At 38.6% G+C, this 16,066-nt stretch overlaps 2 protein-coding genes across 34 annotated transcripts in view; one reads left to right on the top strand and one right to left on the bottom strand.

Annotated features, from left to right (window-relative positions):
• NOC3L (NOC3 like DNA replication regulator) overlaps positions 1–16,066 on the top strand; it is a 48,033-nt gene that overhangs the window by 21,742 nt on the left and 10,225 nt on the right. For 2 of the 4 annotated variants that reach the window (XR_002957007.2, XR_007061982.1), the window contains exons 15-21: positions 702–765; positions 851–922; positions 1,278–1,459; positions 2,462–2,590; positions 3,324–3,421; positions 6,480–6,564; positions 6,893–7,808. Coding sequence is in view for 1 of the 4 variants with exons in the window: in NM_022451.11 (NP_071896.8) it covers positions 702–765; positions 851–922; positions 1,278–1,459; positions 2,462–2,590; positions 3,324–3,421; positions 6,480–6,564; positions 6,893–7,021 (759 nt within the window). In the remaining 3 variants the exon portion in view is untranslated. Of the gene's footprint in view, positions 1–701; positions 771–850; positions 923–1,277; positions 1,460–2,461; positions 2,591–3,323; positions 3,422–6,479; positions 6,565–6,892; positions 7,973–16,066 lie in introns of those variants that run through there. The other 2 variants (NM_022451.11, XM_047425641.1) reach the window with 2 other exon arrangements.
• PLCE1 (phospholipase C epsilon 1) overlaps positions 8,375–16,066 on the bottom strand; it is a 338,893-nt gene continuing 331,201 nt past the window's right edge. For 22 of the 30 annotated variants that reach the window (XM_047425285.1, XM_047425289.1, XM_047425297.1 and 19 more), the window contains one exon: positions 8,375–13,230. The gene's annotated coding sequence lies outside the window, so the exon portion shown is untranslated. Of the gene's footprint in view, positions 15,996–16,066 lie in introns of all 30 variants that reach the window. The other 8 variants (XM_047425294.1, XM_017016311.3, XM_047425288.1 and 5 more) reach the window with 2 other exon arrangements.

Raw genomic sequence — 16,066 nt, 5'->3', positions numbered from 1 at the left:
TTTATAGGTCTTTTTTTTCTTTTTTGAGATAGGGTCTCACTCAGTTGCCCAGGCCGGAGTGCAGTGGTGCAATCACAGCTCACTGCAGCCTTGACCTTCCAGGGCTCAGGTGATCCTCCCACTTTAGCCTTTTGAGTAGCTGGGACTACAGATGTGGGGCACCATACCTGGCTAATTTTTCTATTTTTTTGTAGAAATTTTTTTTTTTTTTTTTTTTGAGAGGGAGTCTTGCTCTGTCACCCAGGCTGGAGTGCAGTGGCGTGATCTCGGCTCACTGCAAGCTCCGCCTCCCGGGTTCACACCATTCTCCTGCCTCAGCCTCCCGAGTAGCTGGGACTACAGGCGCCCACCACCATGCCCGGTTAATTTTTTGTATTTTTAGTAGAGACAGGGTTTCACCGTGTTAGCCAGGATGGTCTTGATCTCCTGACCTCGTGATCTGCCCGCCTCGGCCTCCTGAAGTGCTGGGATTGCAGGCGTGAGCCACCGCGCCCGGCCCTGAGAGATGGGTTTTTGCCATGTTGCCCAAGCTGGTCTTGAACTCCTGGGCTCAAATGATCTGCCTGCCTCAGCCTCCCAAATTGCTGGGATTACAGGCTTGAGTCTTTGCTCCTGGCCTTAAAGTTCTTTTTTAAAGCTATAAATGGCAATTACCATTCTTAATATTCCATCCCCCTCACCCCCCCCTTTTTTTTTTAAAGGACCTAAGCTATCAAGAAAGTCTTCACTGTGTCCAGACTGCTTTTCATATTCTTTCTGGACAAGGTATGATATTTTCTTAATCAAGTTTTGTTTGCCTTACCTTTGAATGCTATAACATACCTAATTGGTGTTTGTTGTCATTTCAAAGGTGATGTTCTGAATATTGATCCATTGAAATTCTACACACATCTCTACAAAACACTGTTCAAATTACATGCAGGTATGTATGTTTAGATAATGTTTCTTTTATATGTATTTATGTTTTAAGAATATGTTATGACCCATCATTGTAGACAAATGAGAAATAGGAACAGGTACATAAAATGGTGACTTTCCAGTGCCATGCATCTGTATTTAATCTTATGTAAGACTTGGAGAAAGAGCTTCTGGAATTGACTGGAGATGCAGTAAGTATAGCCCGCTGTATCTCCTTAGCAGTATAGCACTACCTCATTGATTAGAGAAATGGTTTGGGACAGGTACAAAAGTTTATCTTGGGTTTATCTGAAGTTCAGTCCAGTTGCGTAATGAAAAAGTAATGAGAACAGCTCTGAAGAATATGTCTGCTGTTTTAGGTGCTACCAATGAAGGTGTTGAGATTGTACTCCAGTGCCTTGATGTCATGCTAACTAAGCGCAGAAAGCAAGTTTCTCAGCAGCGAGCTCTTGCCTTCATCAAACGCCTTTGTACCCTTGCTCTTCATGTTCTTCCAAATTCAAGTATTGGCATTTTAGCAACTACCAGAATATTAATGCATGTAAGTAGTGATACAAATGAACAGAGCTAAGTTCTTATAATGCAATGATTTTTTTTGTTTGAGGCATGTCTTTTCCCCCCTTTTATATTATTTCAATTACAGAAGTAATTCACACTTGTAACAAAATCAGGTGACAAAAGAGGTATATAAAATTGAAAAAAAGCATTTTATACCTATTGACACTTCTCAGTGTCATTAGGTGGGTATCCATTTACCATTTGGTGGGTATTTTTCCAGCAGCCTTTTAAAGTTCATATATAAACACATACACATAGAAACAACTCAACTTTGTATTTTAATGGAAAGAGGATTATGCTATATATTCTACCACTTTTTTAACCTTAGCATTTAATCATGGTAAACACATTATAATGTCACTACTCTCTTTATGTAAGGTTTATTTAATTCTTTGCTTAACAAACACCATAGTTCTGACTATGTGCCTTCCAGTTATAAATGCCTTACAAAAATTTAATTTTCATAACTCTGAGGTAGCTACTATTCTTGTTCCTATTGTACATGTGGGAAAACTGAGGTCCAGAGAGGTTAAGTGTCTTGGCTTGAGTAGCAGTGCCAGTCAGTGGTAGAAGTGATATTCAAATGTAGGCAGTCTGGTTTTTCTGCTTCTTTCTATTTCTCTTGATATAGGTTATTTCTTTTTTTGCTATTACAAATGATGCTATAGTGAATATCTTTATGTATTTATCTGATGTAATTATTTCTATCAGATTTCTAAAAGTGTGATTGCAAGGTGAGAAGCATATTTTTTTCTTTTGCAAGATAAAATTAATTTTCAAAGCAAGCAAAGATAAAATTTTTTTTTGCAACTCTTGTTCTTACTATATAAACTTAAATTGTTTTTTATTAAATCTAGGTGTAAAGACTTTATGCAAAGCTCTTATACAACCATAAATTTAAATGCAAATACAACTACAAACCAGTAACACCTCTTATATTAACAATGTTAATTTAACCAATTCTTTTTATGTGACATTTTTGCAGACTTTCCCCAAAACAGATCTACTGCTTGACAGTGAATCTCAGGGAAGTGGAGTTTTCCTTCCTGAACTGGATGAGCCTGAGTACTGCAATGCTCAGAACACTGCTCTGTGGGAACTGCATGCTCTGCGGGTAAGAGTGGCCCTGGTTTTTTTCTTTTTGGGGATGTTTGTGAATAATTGTTTTCCAGTTTTTCTTCAAATAGTTGTTATTGCCAGAGTACTTAATTATATTTTGTTCTGGGGCTGCCTTTTTTAGAATTCCTGTGTTAGTATGCTACATTTTACTTTGCTGTTACTATTCTTTAAGCTGTTGAGGTACATTTTCTAAGGAAGCAGAAAACAGTGTCAGTTCTGTAGGGTGCAGTTGTGGAAGATTTACTGAAACCTTTCCCTTTATTGAAATCTTTCCCTAACACTCTTCAGAGGATTTGTTATCAGGTACATTTCTGTTGAGTCTTATCCAAGGAGACTTTAGTAAGCCCTGTTTCAAGATGGTTTCACCTATGCAGTGATCCTACAGTATGGACAGCATTAGAGTGAGACTTGTAGAAAATAGAAGTGGCAGGTAACCTGTTGTAAATTAACTTTTTTCACTCTGAAAGAGGAATTGCTTTTTGATTTTTCTATTTATATTGTAAAAGCAAGACTAAACTACTTCACTGGTAACTTGATTTGTGTTTTAATCCTATTAGCAAAGATAATATTCTTTCTGTGGGTATGTGCTTCTAATGAATTACATATACTGTACATAGGTGATGAAAAAAAATTTGGTGTAATTTTATTTAAGAAAATCTTTGCTGTGGCTAGTGTTTTTTGTAAAGGACTGACCTGTGCAGAATGTGATTGTCCCGTTTTCCCTTCAGAGGCATTATCATCCCATAGTGCAGAGATTTGCAGCCCACCTGATCGCTGGAGCACCTTCTGAAGGCTCTGGAGCACTCAAACCAGAGTTGAGTCGAAGGTAATATTTAGCATTGCCTTATTCTAAAACTACAGAATTGAGCTGATAGCCACTTACTATGAGAAGACTGTTTCATAAAGTAACATACTACAAAATGTAAAGTGCCAGTTGGGTATCTGGATTGGTCTTGCTTCATATTCCTGAATTGTTCTGAAAGAAAACATGCTATGATTTTGTTGATCACTTAAAACATTTTTTTTCTTCTTCTGTCATTCAACTTGAAAAACATTTTTTTAATCGTGAAAAGTTTCGCACATACAGGATAGTAGAATGGCATAGTGAATGTCCATATGCCCCCCATCACTCAGGTTCAACAATGAATAATCTATGGCTATAGGTGCTTCATGTGAAGATAAAACACAAGTCAACCAAATTAAGCTTCCTTGCTTTCTCGCTCGCTCGGTCTTTTTTTTTTTTTTGAATGGCCCTGTTAGGGCAGGATGAGGAGAAAAAAAAAATGAGGAGAGGGAAGAAAAGAGGTGCTTTGGAACACTGCCATCCAGAAGGGCAGCTTTTTCTTTTTTTGGCCCTTGCAGAGTACCTTCTGACCTATAAGCAGCTTGGATGGGTACTTCCAGCATCTACCTCACACCCAGATGGGGAAAAGGTCCTCCTAAAAGAGTCTTCTTTTCCCTGAACTGTTTACTTACAAAATTTTCACAAGTACAGAAAGGTGAAAAATAGTAATTACTTTTTTTTTTTTTTTTTGAGATGGAGTCTCACTCTGTTGTCCAGGCTGGAGTGCAATGGCGCAATTTCGGCTCACTGCAACCTCCGCCTCCCGGGTTCAAGCGATTCTCCTGCCTCAGCTTCCCGAGTAGCTGGGATTACAGGCACCCGCCACCATGCCCAGCTAATTTTTGTAATTTTTGTAGAGATGGGGTTTCACCATGCTGGCCAGGCTGGTCTCGAACTCCTGACCTCAGGTAATCCACCTACCTTGGCCTCCTAAAGTGTTGGGATTACAGGCGTGAGCCACTGTGCCCAGCCAGTAATTACCTTTTTTTAAATACAGACAGGAAATACTTAAGTTATACAGAGAAAGAGAGAAAATGGTATAAAAAATCCCTCAGTCCATTTATGGTGCCATAAAAAATGCCTAAGACTGGGTAACTTATAAACAACAGAGGGCCAGGCTCAGTGGCTCACGCCTGTAATCCCAGCACTTTGGGAGGCCGATGCGGGTGGATCACCTGAGGTCAGGAGTTCAGGACTAGCCTGGCCAACATGGTGAAACCCCATCTCTACTAAAAATACAAAAATTAGCCAGGCGTGGTGGTGGGTTCCTGTAGTCCCAGCTACTTGGGAAGCTGAGGCAGGAGAATTGCTTGAACCCGGGAGGCGGAGATTGCAGTGAGTCGAGATCTCGCCATTGCACTCCAGCCTGGGTGACAAGAGCGAATCCGTCTGAAAAAAAAAAAACAGAAATTTATTTTCTCAGAATTCTGGAGGCTGGGAAGTTGAAGATCAAGGTGCTGGTAGGTTTGGTTGACTGATGAGGGCGCCTCTCTGCTTCTGAGATGGCATCTTGTTGCTGCATCTTCTGGAGGGGAGGAACCCCATGCCCTCACATGGCAGACAGGACAGAATGGGAGCAGTGCCACAGCTTCACTTCATGAAGCCTCTTCTATAAAGACTTTAACCCATTTATGCCAGAGGTTGCAAATTTTTTTTGTGTGTGAAAAATCAGACCTTGGCGATGACCTTGAGCAGTAGGATATAAATAACTCCTACAAGCTTAGTGTTCTGATAATGGAACACTAGTAGGCATAAATGGGTTAATCCCATTCATGGCTTAATCACCTTTTAAAGCTTTTGCCTCTTAATACCATCACATTGACTGTTAAGTTTCCGTATCTGAATTTTGGAGGGGACACATTGAAACTATAGCACCTTACAATGTACTCATTACCCAGAATTAATATTTTGCTGTAGGTTTTTTCCGTTTGCAAGCCCATTGGTTTCTGTAATTCAGAGATCATAGTTTGGTGACCTGTGGGCCAGGCCGATTTTTCTGGCCTCAAGAGTTTGAAAAAAATTGAATTAGTTGCTGTCTTTTAAATATTGAAAGAATTCATCTGAAATTCACATTTCCCGCTTTTCTTGAAATACTGGGAGGTTTGGTGACATTGGCTTGTATTTTACATGACAGTAGTCAGTCAGTTGCTGCCTCCTCTACATGAGGCAAGAGCTCTGCAGTTTTCCATGAGCCCTTTCCTTCTGAGTAGGATGGAGATAACTTTTGGCCTTATTAAATAAAATGGCCATTTACTTTTTCTTCCCTCACACTTCTCACCTGTCCCCAGTCTTCACCCCACCAGCCTTTTTTTTTAAAAGGAAAAAAGGAGAAAACAATTCTTTGTCACTCTTCATAATGATTATTTTATGGCATGTTTTCCTTAGCAGTTTTGCTAAGGAAAGATGTTTCCTTTGTGGAGAAGGATGAGGAATGAGCTTATCCCAAAGGCTTAAGAAAGGAGACTCATAGTGGGCTTCTGGAGAGTGGGTATTGGGATGTGAGCCTAATTGCTACCTTCGTAGGCCCTTGCCTATGTGTTTTGGCGAGTGTGAACTAATTCCAAATCATTAAGGATTCATTTACACGCCATGGGTATAGACATGTATTCTGTCCTGAATGGCCTTTCCTTGTTTTTCATCCAGGCCAGTAGCTGAAGAGTTGAGCTGTGTTCTAAGTCTGTGGAGAATGACTCCATGCTTCAGTCCTCTGGCTCCCATGACTAAGATATACTTAGTTGCATTATCAGTGGGTTGGGATTTGATCACACTGAACTGGAGTTCTTCAGCTTAGCTTTCTCTCTGGAGTCTATGCCTGTATTGCTAAATGTATACCAAACCTCTCTGAGGTGGATTTAGTTGGATAATGTTGACATTACAATGGGAATTTAGAATTTGTTAAGTGACTGGATTGGTTGGTTAGTTTCAAATCTTATACCTTAATATATGGGTTAAGAATGAATCATTCTCTGAGTATAATCTAATTATTTTTGAGTTACACAGATGTGGTGGTATCTTTACATTTTTTGTGTTTGTGATTTAGATCTGCTACTGAACTTTTTGAGGCATATAGCATGGCAGAAATGACATTCAATCCTCCTGTTGAATCTTCAAACCCCAAAATAAAGGTATGGGATATTTTTCATTTTTTTAAAGGAAGAAATAGAAACCAATGTATCTCAATAACTCTAACTCCAGTTTGCTTAATTATTTTATAGGTAGTTTTTTTTTTAATGTTTAGGATTTCATCATAGGATGGATTTCTGAGGTTGAAATTCTATAGAGATGATCATGAAACTGTTCGTTCAATATAGGATATGTCCAAGACCTTACCAAGCATCTGTCATTGTGTTGCATGTGTTGGTGTCAGCTGTTGCCATTTTCAACTTGGTTCACAGGTTGGCTTTAGCTTATAGCATAAGTAACTTCTAACTCATACTTTAAATATTTTCCTAGGGTAAATTTTTACAAGGGGATTCATTTTTGAATGAAGATTTAAATCAGCTAATCAAAAGATACTCCAGTGAAGTTGCTACTGAATCGCCTCTGGATTTCACGAAATATTTGAAAACATCACTACACTAGTAGAGGAATGAAGTCAGTGGACTTTCTTGTATATTTGTGTGTGCAGATGTACATAAAGATGAGTTGTTAACTTAGGATCTTTTCTTTTTATACAAGGAAAGCTTCCTAAGAATGTCTAGGAAGAAGAGGAAGAATGACCCTTTGCATGGCACAGGGTTCTGCCCCTATTCTGAATATGTCATTCCATCAAGGAGATCAAAAGCCTTTTTTTCTCCCCAGTATTTGGAAATTACTTTCTTGATGATGCTGCCTTTTAAAAGCTTCACGTACATTATAGTTTTTTAAAAAAATCTTTGGACTGGATCTTACTGAAGTGCAGTTGCTATATTAAAATTAGGGCATAGAGCACAGAAAAATCAAGACCATGAGAAGACATTTTACCATTTAGCTACTTTTTATAACTAAATACTCTTTAAATATTTTTATTTCAATACTGTGGATGGAAATGAGAAGCATTCTAAATTTGAGTTAATATATTTTTATGAAGATATTTGAGAAAAGAAAAAAATAGCTTGTATTCAGGTTCATTGGCTTTTGCTGGATGATCCACCTAAAGAAGTTACCTAATTTGGCCTTTTAAAAAAGGTGTTAGTGTTTATTATAGCTACTTTCAAGGAAAGTTTGAATATGATTCTAGTCTCTAAAGTTCTTCACGTTTTCTGACATTCCCTGGAGGGTGACTGGGGAAGAATTGCTCCAGGGTAGAAGAACCAGGCCCAAGACTTTACCATTCTGATCTAGAGACAAAGGATACTCAATGAGGAGCTTTTTTCCCCTCTTGGAACAGGTAAAATGCTTTTTCTTATTAATATAATTATAAAACAGTATTTTATGTAACAGCTATTCCCATATTCTAGGAGTGGCCTAAGAAATGCGTGTTTCAGTGACTAGATTATAAATATTCTCTATTGTGAATAGTTGAATAAAACAGCTGTTTTTTTCTGCTTCCTATTCTTGTGATATGATAATTTTTTGAAAAAAGCACAGCAGTCCAACTAAAGAGATCTCTTACTGTTTGAAAGTCATAGCAGCCAGTTATTTTACTCTGGAGCTTAGAGTTCTTTTTTCACATGAAGTAAACGAAAGTAGAAAATTCCTTTACCATTCCAGCAGAGTGAGAGGATATGAGCTTAACAGTGTATGTCAGTCTTTTAGCATATTATATATGATTTTTAAAAGTGGTTCTGAGGTCACATTTTTTAAGGCTTGATTATTTAATGAGAAAGGTATGATTCAGCATATGAATATTTGCTTTTAGTCCACCTTTTAGGTATAAAACAAAGTCCAGGAATGTGATAAATATTTGTGTGGATAACCAAAGGGTCTAATCCCCATCAGAGCACAAGTGACCAATACATGTCACAAATTATTTATTTTCCACACATATACAAATACATTTATACTTTACTTTGGCAGCAGAAACTATACTTCTGGTGAAAAATCAGCTTAAAATAGAAACTCATCAGCTATTTCACAGCTGTATTATGCCTTTAATTTTCTTGTTATACATATGGAGAATCACAGTGGGACTACAAAATTATACATCTATATTTGAGTATCCTATGTGAATTTGAGGAAATATATTTGTGCATTAACTTACATACGCTTATATGTAAGCTTATGTTTAAACACACACACACACACACACACACACACACACACACACACACAGGCACACACATATCCTGAGGCTATATTAAGCTACAGCCTTAATTTGTTTTTTAACTAGACAAATAATGAGCACCTACTGTGTGTTTAGCACTATGCTGGCACTTAAGAGTGGGGTGGGAAATAATGGGTGTAAGACAACCTCAGTCTTCCATGCTGAGTCAAATCATCCACATAACGCTTTTGAAAAATGCGACAGTACCCAATTCAGTGTTAGAATTACTTGTGTCAAAAGTTTAGAGACCTATGTCATCTGCAATAGGGAAGGTTTCAGAGATCTGTTTGGTGACAGGCTTGTGCATAGTATGTTTTGAATCTAAGAGATGTATAAGAGTAGGTAGGCCAGGTGTGGTGGCTCACGCCTGTAATCCCAGCACTTTGGGAGGCTGAGGCGGGTGGATCACGAGGTCAGGAGTTCGAGACCAGCCTTACCAACATAGTGAAACCCCCGTCTCTACTGAAAATAAAAAAAATTAGACGGACATGGCGCACACCTGTAGTCCCAGCTACTTGGGAGGCTGAGGCAGGAGAATCACTTGAACCTGGGAGGTGGAGGTTGTGGTGAGTCGAGATCGTACCACTGCACTCCAGGCTGGGCAACAGAGTGAGACTTTGCCTCAAAAAAAAAAAAAAAAAAAAGAATAACTTGGTAATCATAGAGACTCAGTATGTGTTTCAAAGGGACTCATTTCAGGTATTCCTATGTCAGAATCCATAGCCATCAGCCAAGGATTGCTTTTAGGAAGCTGCTACATAAGGATGGCAGAGAACACATAAATTATTAACAATGGATCATGGGGAATATTGACCCAAGTCTAGACTCTGTATAAGAGACAATCTCCCTTTTCTCTCTAACTTTTTTGGGGTCCCAGGTATATCTTTTCTGGCCTCACTGCTGATATATAAGCAACTGAAAAGGGGTCAGAGACTTTCACCATGAGAGCACTTTCCCTGCAGGCTGCCAATGTAAGATCAAAGACACCAGCCAGGAAAATCCTACTCTTCTTTACTAGCATGGGAGCATAGATGTGGAGTTTTGTGTTTTAGAGTTAATTCAATTTTATTGGGCCAGTAAGCAAGCCCTGATAACTTTCCAGAATTAAGCAAGGCCTGTGGGTCTCTGGGCAGAGGACAGAAGTCTATAGAGATATTGGAAGAGGAGAGAAGAAAGGAAGGGGACGATGTAGTTAGCAAAAGGTAAATTGATACATATCATAGAGGGCCCACTTTCATTAATGAGCTTCCAGTGTCTCCAGAGGTATTGAGATGGGAGGCATAAAAGCCTCCCATAAAAGAAAGCAAGTTTGATTAAAAACAAGTCACTTGTAACTCAACTTTTGTTGAGTCTAGACTTCATATTGACTCCCAACTGGAGAATTTGTAAATAACTTTTACTTGCTAATGATGACATGAAAAGAAGCTTTACCCCTCAAAGGGCACTTTCTACCCAGATAGGATCATTCCTACAGATTTGGCATCACTGAATAGAGTGACAGAATTCATGCTCCTTTCTCTTCACTTTCAGTGATGCTTCTTAAAATTTTGTAATGACCCCAACTTGCATATTTAGATTCTTGTCCACATCAACTTTAATGAGAAGAGTTTGCTACCCAGATTTCTGGTGGCCTAAAAAGTGTGAAATGGTAATGGGTATAGTCATAGTGGCTATTTAGGATAATTTCTTTCACTTGGCATAATATAGCTGTTTAATTCAGAAAGCTTTAAATAAAACTTAAATATTTTCAGCCAACATCAGATTGTGCTGGCCATTTGTGTATAATAGTAGACTAGACTCTTTACTTTTTTTTTTTTTTTTTGAGATGGAGTCTCACTCTTGTACCCAGGCTGGAGTGCAGTGGCACAGTCTCCACTCACTGCAACCTCTGCGTCTTGAGTTCAGGCAATTCTCTCCTGCCTCAGCCTCCCCAATAGCTGGGATTTACAGGTGCCCACCACCACTAATTTTTGTATTTTTAGTACCCAGCTAATTTTTGTATTTTTAGTAGAGACGGGTTTCACCATGTTGGCCTCGAACTCCAGACCTCAGGTGATCCACCCACCTCAGCCTCCCAGAGTGTTGGGATTACAGGCATGAGCCACTGTGCCCAGCCAACTCTTTACATTTTGAAACAATGTGTTCTTTCTGTAATCCCAAAGACTCAAATACAATGAAGTATGTACTTTCACCTCAAAATGTGATAAACAACTAAATTGGGATGCAACCTAGGCAGTAGGCTGGATTCTCTCACTTGCTAAACAACCTGGTCTCAACTTCAGTCTCAGATTTATGTTGTAAAACATACACCTGTGTTAAAGGTCATGGAGGAGGAGTGGGGCAGCGCTTAGCATCAGAATCAAATGTGATAAACCTAAAGAGACGAGTCTTTTCATCTTGTTACTCTGCACAGTTTTCATTTGGCCTCTAGCCACTTAGACCAGCAACTCAGTTTTCAACACGTGGTAGGGCAAACTGTTTGGCATGTTCACTTATAGAGGCTTGATAAAGTGTTTCCGGAATATTTTTAAAATGGAGCAGCATTGTGCATTTGTTAGAATGAATATTTGACTTAAAACTGTACTACTGTATAGATTACATCAAACTGGAATAGCCTGAATTCTGTTGACAAGAAAATGGTAGTTCTAGCCTTAAGGCTTTGACCCAGTAAGAACTTTCAATGACATGAAAGCTGTATGGTGTTTTTTTTTTTTTTTTTTTTTTTTTTTTTTTTTTTGAGACGGAGTCTCGCTCTGTCACCAGGCTGGAGCGTGGTGGTGCGATCTTGGCTCACTGCAGCCTCCACCTCCCAGGTTCAAGTGATTCTCCTGCCTCAGCCTCCCGAGTAGCTGGGATTACAGGCACGTGCCACCACGCTCAGCTAATTTTTGTACTTTTAGTAGAGATTGGGTTTCACCATGTTGGCCAGGATGGCCTCATTCTCTGTCCTGATCCGCCCATCTTGGCCTCCCAAAGTGCTGGAGTTACAGGCGTGAGCCACTCTGCCCAGCCTGTGTGGTGTATTTTTAACACTTCTGTTTTTAGAATATGCAAGAAACACATGGGGATGGTTTTATTTTTATAATTGGTTAAAAAAGTTTCTCAAAGTGAAGTTTAGGAGTGAGTTTTAGTGTTTTGTAATTTGAAGAAAAGTGTCTTAAAATTCAAAGATACCAATGGAAAGATAAAAGTTTGGGTTTTAGAGGAATACATATTTCATTTTTAAAATTCATAATTTGCTTCATACTAAGAATATGAAGAATCCTTTACACTTAATGGTTTTGTACAGCAAAGTTTAAAAATAATTTACATTAAATGGCAAGTATGACTTGGATCAATAGCTCTTCAGTTAATGAGAAATGAAGCAATTTTACTTGAAAGTCTAGCCCATTTCAGATGTTCAGAGCATATATTTTCTTTTTAGAAGTTTGTCTTCAAGTACTGAGAACTAATGCTTCTAATCCATGGCAATATCAAGAGAGCGATGTATAATAAATATATAAGTATAGTGTCAGTACAAACCTTGCAAAATAAATTTAAACGCCAACTCAATCTACTTTTGCTTTAAAAAATTGTTAGGTTTCTTGTTAAGACATTGCAATTCAGTAGATATTAAATTATACGTCATTCTAAATTCATTTTGAAAACCAAAAATGAGTAATCTAATCTATGATTAAGCAATAACCTTTTTTAAAGCAACCCTATTAACTGAATAGGCAATAACCTTAAAAAAAACCCAATATTATTTCTATATGTAAAAAAATCCTAAAGAGGAGTGCACTGTGGTACACAATACAGGAACTAAATTGAATTTTAATGACTCTTATGTTATAGGACATATTTACACTTGAAATGCCCCAAAGCTTCTAATTCTAAGCTTCTAATTCTCGGCCATAAAATGTATGGCTAAACTTCCTTTCCTGTTTTCAGATCTTTGTGCTCCTTGTTCCCAGTTCTCTTCTCTTAGTTGTGTTGGCAAATTAAGGTCCTTGGGCCAAATCTAGCCTGCCACCTGTTTTTGTATGGCCCCTGAATTAAGAATAGTTTTTAAGTTTTTAAATGGTTGAAAAAAAGTCAAAACAAGAGTATTTGTGACATGTGAAAAATATATGAAATTCCAATTTCAGTGTCCATAAATAAAGTTTTATTGGAATACAGCCACGTTCGTTCATGTATGTGTTGTCTATGGCTGCTTTTGCACTACAATGGCAGAATTGGGTGGTTGCAACATATTTTATGGCCCCCAGCCCTAAAATATTTACTGTTTGGCCCTTTACAGACAAGCTTGCTGACCCTTGCTCTAAGTCAATTCGTGACGATTTTTCCAACTGCTGACATTTATAAAATGGCAGTCCCCTGGGCTTCATTCATCAGTAAATTGGTTGGTGGCAACTAGCCCTGTGCCATTTTGCTTCTCCTCAGCATGGATCTCACATGTGTGAAGGCTTCAGTTCAGAAATCATCAATTTCCAGTTTAAGTCTGATGAAAATAATTATATTTTTTCCACCATGTTCACTCTTTAACTTCTTGCTTAAAGATCTTCACCTGTAATGTTGTATACAGAGGCTTATTAGTATACTGAAAATGAAGAAACAGAAACACTTGCGGTATACCAAGGGTTCAGAGTTTTCCAGCCACAGCTCTAGTGGCTAGGTTTGGGGAAGAGACTGTTTCCTCTGTACTCACAATGTTAGAACATGATGTTTCTAGGAAGTAGAACATTAGGTTATTTCTGCCTTGGAAATAAATATTTCACATTCTTTAGAAAGTTTGTTTTTTTAAAAAAGATCACATCAAATAAACTGTTCAACTTTAAGAAAAGGTGGAATTCCTTCAGCTAACTACTACTTCAGATAGATGAATATGTTCTTTAAAAATCTGTAGATTATTGAAACTTTAAAAGGGATCATTTTAGAACAAATATGAAATATGTTACCTAAAAAGTGGAAACAATACTAAACTAACTTTCTTTTTGCTCTCTCTCCCTCTTGTCTGGCTGGACTGCTGCCTCCAAAGTTCAAGCAATTCTCCTGCCTCAGCCTCCTGAGTAGCTGGGACTACAGGAATTTTTATATTTTTTGGTAGAGATGGGGTTTCACCATGTTGGCCAGGCTGGTCTCGAACTCCTGACCTCAAGTGATCCACACACCTCGGCCTCCCACAGTGCTGGGATTACAGGCATGAGCCACTGTGCCTGGTCCTAAACTCTAAACTTCTTTTCTTATGAGCTCTTCTTTTCTTTTACAAGTGCTCTTTCTTGAAAAGACCATTGTAAAGGAGGTCATAACATGGGATGTCAATTCACATAGATGCACCAATGACTATAAGAGAAGCCTCCCTAGCTTTTGTTTTGAGACGGAGTCTCGCTCTGTCGCTAGGCTGGAGTGCAGTGGCGCAATCTCGGCTCACTGCAACCTCCGTCTCCCGGGTTCAAGCGATTCTCCTGCCTCAGCCTCCCGAGTAGCTGGGACTACCTGCGCACACCACCACGCCCAGCTAACTGTTGTTGTATTTTTAGTAGAGACGGGGTTTCACCATGTTGGCCAGGATGGTCTCAATCTCTTGACCTCGTGATCTGCCCGCCTTGGCCTCCCAAAGTGCTGGGATTACAGGCGTGAGCCACTGTGCCTGGCCAGGCCTCCCCAGCTTTAAGCAAAGCTGTGAAGTTAACAGAATGATTCTAAATATCTGCTTGCTTAGAAAAAGAAAAAAAAAGTCATGTGAATCCATTGGTCAGAAAAAATAAATATCTACTTGCTACAGGACAATAGAATCTAAAGGCAATCATCTAAATCACTATCAATCACCCTCCCCCAGTCTCCTAAAATATAAGCAATTAGCAATGTTCATTATAGTAGGCATATTATTTTTAAGTCAAATTTCTAATGGAGTTGTATTCTTCTGTACTTAAGAAGTAATCTTGTAGCACATATCGGGCTCTTTATATGTAGAGAAGTATATGACCAATTTACTAGCTTTAGTGTAATTTCACCTCATTACAGAAGTTATAGAGGTGTGTATAACATCACACCTATGATTTATTTGATACTAACTTCTGGATATGGAAAACAATATTTAAAATTTTGACCACTGCAGAGTGTAATATAGGACATCAGTTATTTTAGGAGTTGCTCTTTAAATGTGGAAACATGATCTCAATGTATTGGGCCTTCTTTTGGGCTGTTTTAAGTAAAATTTGGCTCTGGGAAGAGGCATCACTGAGTTCTTTAATTGTGAGTTTCTGCAGTTTGGCAGTTTTATATCAGAAGTTCCTCATTGTCATAAAGGCAGATGGTGAAGCTCTGTCACATAAACAGCAATGCTTTCACTGTGCTGTTCATCTTGGGAATTTTAAATCTGTGAACTACCATGGAACAGGTGAAAAGTGGGCTTTAATGAACCCTTAGGTTCATTAGGAAACTAAGCGAAAAGGAGAGACTTACCACTGGTTCCCTCACATGCTTTTATTCAGGTCTCATGTAAATAATTTGCTTTAAGATAGAATGAAATTTGTGTGACTATCAAGCAGTCAGTTTACTGCATTTCCAAGATTGAGGCTGTTATGTTATTTTGCTTTCTTTTTAACCACATCCCGGATGCCAGATTTTTATTTTTTTAATTGAGGCAGAAGGAGATGAGGTTGTTGAAGCTACATCAAACCTAAATTAGAACAGTAATAAAACGAGAAATCCAAAAGAATAAAAGCTGAATGATCCATAGAGCCCTTGAAGAATGTTTCTGTCAGCTATTAATACTGAAGACAGTTGTCTGATGAAATAAGGCTATCAGAGTACTTTGGGCAAGTTGATTGACTTCTTGGGAGCTTTGCTTATTTATCTACAAAATAAATAAGGGGTCTAAAATTACAAAAGCTCAAGTTACATATATATATTTTTTTTTTTCTTTTTTTTTTTTTGAGACGGAGTTTTCACTCTCATTGCCCAGGCTGGAGTGCAATGGTGTGATCTCAGCTCACTGCAACCTCTGCCTTCCAAGTTCAAGTGATTCTCCTGCCTCAGCCTCCCCAGTAGCTGGGATTATAGGCATGCACCACCATGCCCAGCTAATTTTGTATTTTTAGTAGAGACGGGGTTTCTCCATGTTGGTCAGGCTGGTCTTGAACTGACCTCAGGTGATCTGCCTGCCTTGGCCTCCCAAAGTGCTGGGATTACAGGCATGCGCCACCACGCCCAGCCTCTTTCCCTTTTTCTTTATAGGCGGTGTTCAATAGCATATCATGTTACACATATCTTCAGAGCCCTTTTCCTGTTTTAAGGTCCCATTCCTACCTGCCTTCAAGGGACATCCTCCTGTTGGAAAAGATAAAAGACATTGTACTAATTATGCCTTCCTTACAAAGTAGTTTAAGTTAAGCCCTGTT

This window comes from Homo sapiens, chromosome 10 (assembly GCF_000001405.40).
Source record: "Homo sapiens chromosome 10, GRCh38.p14 Primary Assembly".
NCBI lineage: Eukaryota > Metazoa > Chordata > Mammalia > Primates > Hominidae > Homo > Homo sapiens.
This window is presented reverse-complemented; position numbering and strand designations above follow the sequence as displayed.